This window comes from Homo sapiens, chromosome 6 (assembly GCF_000001405.40).
Source record: "Homo sapiens chromosome 6, GRCh38.p14 Primary Assembly".
NCBI classification, from domain to species: domain Eukaryota; kingdom Metazoa; phylum Chordata; class Mammalia; order Primates; family Hominidae; genus Homo; species Homo sapiens.
The window spans coordinates 101,297,359-101,303,814 of record NC_000006.12 but is presented as its reverse complement, the minus strand read 5'-3'; the positions used below and the strand labels follow the sequence as shown (position 1 = coordinate 101,303,814).

The 6,456-nt window shown below is 35.8% G+C and overlaps 1 annotated feature.

Annotated features, from left to right (window-relative positions):
- Window positions 306-1,505: an enhancer, noted in NCBI's record as "P300/CBP strongly-dependent group 1 enhancer chr6:101750186-101751385 (GRCh37/hg19 assembly coordinates)". NCBI's record gives its function as "activates an origin of replication core promoter dependent on BRD2, BRD4, P300/CBP, MED14 and CDK7 cofactors, with strong dependence on P300/CBP, by STARR-seq in HCT116 cells {active_cell/tissue: HCT116}" and the evidence as "EXISTENCE:reporter gene assay evidence [ECO:0000049][PMID:35650434]".

Below are 6,456 nucleotides of genomic sequence, written 5' to 3'. Positions count from 1 at the left end.
TGACTGATACTGGGGAAATTCCCTTTATGGGAGTATTACATGATTATTCATGAAAGGGTGGGAAGGGGTGTTGATATTAAGCATATTACAAGTGGTTTCTTCAGCCTGCATGCACAGCAGCTCTACATGCTGGTATATACATCACATGCCTCATTAGCATCTTAAATTTCCACCCAGGGTTTACTATTGTAATGAGCATAGGTCAGCCCAAAGACATTGAGCATGGGTTTCTGCACTTGTGTGAGTTTGGGGATTTTCTCTTCTGCTCTTCTTCCTCCTTGCTGCAGGATGTTCTAACCACAAGCCCAGGATGCAATTTGTGCATTGTCGTGTGGTTTGTTCCTCCATTTATTTGGCAAGTTTTGCCCCTAAAGGGGAGGCTATGACCACCATATCTAATCTACCTCACTTGGACTTTTATCTTGTTGTTCTCCTCAGCCCATTTCTTACATTTCATCTGTAACTAAACAGAGTATATTATTTCAGGTAAGAAAGATCTATATTCAAATCCTGACTTTGTCACTTACCCTGACCCTTAAGTCACAACTCTCTGATCCTAAATTCCCTTCTCTATTAAAATAAAGAAAAGGGTAATAATGAGAATCATAATATTCCCTTTCATGAGTAAGAGAGAAACCATAGAGGTTGGGCATGTCAGTAAGCCTTAACAGAGAAAGTGATATTTCAACTGTTCTTTGATTCACAGGTGGGTCACAAAGAGATAAAAGTGTTACAGTCCAGTTGGGTTCTTCTTGCCCACTACCTAGAAAAAGCCAATGCCCTGAAACAGTAGGGAATTGCAGCAGAGAAAGTTTAATAATCACAGAGCAGCTGTGAAATGAGGATGGGAGATAATTCTCAAACCCACCTCCTTGAGATATTGGAGGCGAGGGTTTTTAAGGACAATTTGATGGGCAGCAGGCTAAGGAATAGATATTGCTAATTGGCTGGGTCAGGGATGAAATAATATGCTTGTCAAAACTATCTTCAGGCACTGAGTCACACTGAGTCAGTTCCTGGGTGGGGGCCACAGGACAAGCTGAGTCAGTTTCCAGGTATGGGTCACTAGTCCAGGTGCCATCAGTTGTTCTACCAAAATGTAAGGTCTAAAAAATATTTCAAACACCAGTCTTAGGTTTTACAATAGCAATGTCATCCATAGGGGAATTTGGGGACATGAAAGTTATACATCTTGTGACCACCAGCTACATAATCCTGAGCAGTAAGCAGTTACAAAAAGGCAAGTTATAAAACTATGACTGGTTAGAGTTTAACTCTACTGTATTAGTCTGTTTCACACTGCTATAAAGAACTACCTGAGACTGGATAATTTGTAAAGAAAAGAGGTTTAATTGACTCACAGTTCCATATGGCTGAGGAGGCCTCAGGGAACATACAATCATGGCAGAAGGGGAAGCAAGACACATCTTACATAGTGGCAGGAGAGAGAGAGTGAAGGAAGAAGTGCCACACACTTTCAAACAACCAGATGTCATGAGAACTGACTCACCTATCACAAGAAAGGCAAGTTGGAAGTCTGCCTCCATGATTCAATCACCTCCCGCCAGGCCCCTCCCCCAATACATGGGGATTACAATTAGAGATGAGATTTGGGTGGGGACACAAAGCCAAACCATATCACATACCTACATCTTAGCAAAAGAAACAATGACTGGTTAGAGTTTAACTATGCCTACATCTTAGCAGAATTCTGGCCCCTACCATAATTCTAAACTTTGTGGCTTTTCATTAGTTTTACAAAGGTGATTTTAACCCCTGAGAAAGGAGAGGTTTAGTTTTGAGAAGTGACTATTATCATTCTTGCTTTAAACAATAAACTAAATACCTCCTATAGTTGGTCTAGCCTACATGTAAATATGAGCAAAGACAGCTTCTGAGGTTAGAAGCAAGATGGAGTCAGCCGTGTTAGATTTCTTTCACTGTTATCATTTTGCAAGGGAAGTATCAGAAGGAAGAATGTAGCATTTGAAGGAGAATGTTTTCTTCAGCAAATGAACATTGGTAAGAAATTACAAGGTATACTTTGCAGCTATTCCAGTTTGTACATGGAGTAGGAAATTATGAGAGCTGTGAAAGATGACTATAAAGGCAGATTGGGATTAGATCACAGAGAGCTTTAAATTCTAAGACATAGAATTTCAAATTCATATGACAGCTAATGGGTAGAAGTAAAAATTCTTGACCAAGAAAATGATTGTTCAGAATTATACATAGAGAAGAGTATTCTGGTGATAATGAAAAGTACAATTGGTACTCGACCAACCAATGTCCATAATTCAAGAGAGGGTTAATTAGGAATTTACGTAGAATGAGACATCAGGTCTAAGATACTATCAGTTGTAACATGCATCCTTATTTTATGTACCATCATGAAAAAATGTAAAGCCCTGATAATTATACTTTGACACAATCCTAATACACCATTAATTTTAAGACATGTGCCAGTTTCGGACATTAAAATTTGAACAAATATGCATGTTAGAATTGATGAAATATGTTTTAATGGTTTAATGAAAAGGAAGAAGAAATTAAAAGTCTTGACAGAATTTGATAATCAAATTGCTGAAGATAGAATGGAAAAGGAAGTAATCAAACATGGGCTTGAGATTTTTAGTTTTATTTCTTGATGTCAGTATCAAAAAATGGGAAGTCATAATGAGAAAAATGGTTTAATTGTGATGCCATTGGGATTTCTGGGTGTTGTAAAAGAGTCAGAAATGTGAAATAAAGCTTGAAAACATGGTTGTTATTTGAGAGTGACATTTAAAAATCATCTCCTTAGGAGTAATTTTTAAAGCCATGGGAATATGTGAGCTCATTAAGTAGCAGAGGATATAGAAAGAAAATAGAACTAAGGTTAGGAAGCTAAATTTCTGGATGAGGATAAAGGAACAAACAAACTCCAAAAGCAATGATAATTAGAATAGCAAGAGGTGTGAGATAGAGTGAATTAAATACTTTGGGCATTTTGTGGTTATTTTGGAGAAAATCGTTACCTTCTTTAATCATTTGGATTGTGTGTGCTGGGAATGCACTGGTGATTAGGGGTTTGATGGAGGTGTAATTCGACTCTGGATGTCAACAGGATCACAACTCTAGATAGTAAACATTGCCTGTTAACTGATGATACCTGTGTAACTTAAAATGTCTTACAAGTTGTGTCTTGGACCTCATCAATATATTTATGCTAATAAACTCGTTTGTGGGAGGGAACATCAAAACAACAAAAACAACAACAACAAAAACAGAGAAAAAAAGAAGTAGAGAATAGAAAAACAGTCATTCTAGGATAGGGGATCCAAGTTGGGAAAGAAGAGTTTCCAGAAGAATGGGTTGGCCATTAGGGTCAGTGGTTATAGAACCAAGAAGGAAATCAGCTACTGCAGGAAGAAAAAATTGGTAAATTGGTTCGCTTTCAACCGAAGTTAATTAAATGAAGTTAAGTTTTTACATGCTGAAAAATAGTCTCAGAGAAACATGCAGAACAGATTTTATGTTCGTTTCTTTTTTGATATTTTTCCAGTGTTTAAGAGGGACACATTTTGTTTTAAAAGCTAGCATATAGGTGTTTAGAATCTGCCCCAAATTTTTAAAAGCTAATGCATGCAATTTACCAGTAATCTTAACTAAATCTGAAACATAGTGTCATAAAAACTTCTCTAGTTCCCAGTACTGCAGATGGTCATTAGAATTTTCAAAGAGAAAAAATAAATGTAGCATCCAAAAATATAAAAACAAAGAGCAAAACATTTCTCCAAATGAATAAGTAAATATTAATATGCATTATATTACAAGTACTTTCTAACAGAGGATAAAGATATCTGGTATATATTCTTCCAGAGCCAAAAGCTCTACCAAGTCACACCTTCTCATAGAAAGCATAATTTCATTGAAAGGAAGCACCTTATCTTATGCCCAGCTCCTCACTCACCCCAATAGCAACCTGCTTACATCTCATGAAGAAATGACTAGCACTTTCTGGGTCTCCACGTATGCATGGGCAGGGACTATGGGACTACTCCCATGTCAGCTTTTGTCCAGCTTCTGTTGTGTTTCCCAATTAGAAGAATAAACCAGTATTCAGATTCATTTATTGTTATACATTGCAGTTTTTGAGGAAATTGTAAAGTTAAATTCTCCTCTAGAAACATGCCTGGGTAAAGGAAAGGAGATTAGGGAGGAGTGAATCACCTTCTTCAAGTGCCCCCACCCTGAACATTCTATACTGGCAAAGTCATAGTAAAATGATCATTAAGGGGAAGACTTAATGCAGAAAATGTAGGCTCAAAAAGTAGGGACAGAAACTAACATTTGTTGAGCATTTAACTATGAGCCAAATCTTCTGCTAGATGCTTGAGATATATTCTTTTATCTCATTCTGAAAGCTACATTGTAAGATGTATATTATTGGTCCCATTTTACAAGTTCTGATATTGAAGACCAAAGAGGTTATTTGTAATCTGTGAAAGACGTTTAACAATATCTACCTTCTAATATTGTTGTATAAATTAGAGATTATTCATTTACACAAAAATACTTATTGAGTACCTGTTACATTCCAAGAACTGTTTTAGTTACATGAATAATAGAGCATCATGCATGCAACATACTAGCACTCAAAAGAAGGGCATGCATTTCATCTTATGGAATCACAAGCAAACAGAGAGTCAATTATCAAAGGGTCTGCTCATGACTTCTGAGGAATGTCCTTTTCCCTTAGTTTCCAGGCAGGCATTGATCATTGACGATCATCAGTGGAGGCTTTGCTGTGTTTCCTCTCTAGACAGCTGTATACCTGGATAACACAGTGTTAAATAAATGGACCAAGATGGCTCCTGTATATTGGCCTCTATTTAATATAACAGGCCAGGACCATTATGTCAAAGCCCACCAAACTCAAATTATTACACATTCAATTGCTTTAAATATAGGCCAAATAAACATATTTTTAACCAGTTAGAGTGTGCCCAATTTGGCCACCTGTGAAACTGCACCCAACACTTGCTGACCATAGATAAGACAAACTAAGTATGTGAAACAACAAAAACAATTTGTAACAAACTAATCGTAAAGAAAGATTATGTTTCCAAAGCTTATTATACCCCACCTCCCTATACACACACACACGAAACCAAAAAATCTCTAATAAAGGACCATAATCAAAACTTTGCTTAAGAATATAGTAAATTGAAAAAATTGGCACTGACTGTGGCCTCTATCTACAAAATACTCTTATTAAAATGCTAACTGTGTACATTTTATGTACAGTAGTTATATTTCTAAAGTTCTTTATCATGAGTTAATGTATAGTATATTAAACAGAAAAAATAGGGGCCTTCTAGTAAGAAAAATATATGGTAGGGGCACATTTAACCCATTAAAAATATAATTTGAAAAGTCTTTGATTTATTATTTACATGCAAATAGAAATAGCTATAATAAACTACTTCTTAATCCAGTTTACAGAAGCAATGTTTTATGAAATGTTGAAAAGAGCGGACTAGGTTTAAATTCCAGATTGGCCACTTAATAGCTGCAATATAAGCAAATTACTTATCTTCTCTGAGCCTCAGTGTTCTGATTTGCGAGCTAAAAAGAGTAACGTTTAGGATGATCCACATGAAATTGCTGATATTCAACAGTTTTTTACCTACAGAGAAGGCAAGTTCATGTGGTTTAATCAAATAATTAACTCTTATATGTATGGCGAGGGAATTACAGAGATAATCTGTGAAGAGCCTCCAGCATGCTTCTGGGAATATAGTCAACACACAATAATGTTCCCTTATATTTCTCTCAATTCTCCACGGATGATGCTGACCATTAGGATAATCTGGATTCAATTTTCTGTGTTAGTGAAGATACCCACAGGATGGGAAACCAAATGCTGCAAGTGATAGTCATATATTGTCACAGCTGAATATAGGTAATAATTATTTCTGCCTCCTATATTTTTTCAAATCAGGAAGCTGAATAGAGCCACTAATAGAGAATGCTTTACCATCCTACCTTAGAATCAAGGTCTATAAACCCACAAATTTTCTTATGTGGCTAATTCATCTTAACTCAAACTTTAAATGCCAGAAGGTCTAAGTGGGCCTTTTTGTGGTAATTTAGAGCTTGAAATAAAATTTAACATCAGTGTTAGTTTAGAGTGATGTTGTGTTAGAACTTAATAAACATTACCAACTGTAGCCATTTCATAATAATTAAGTTACGAGGAACATTTATTAAAATATTTAAAGGAAAGATCCCTAAAATAGAACTAAAACATTAAGTTAGCAATATAGGTCGTAATATATTTTCCATGCTGCTTCCTATAAATTTATCTTCCTCACACCTACTATTTAACCTTTTTAAGGCCCCCTAGGCTTACTTATTTTATGTAAACTTTAGCATAATAATGCAATATTCACAAAATCTTTAAAAAGAACA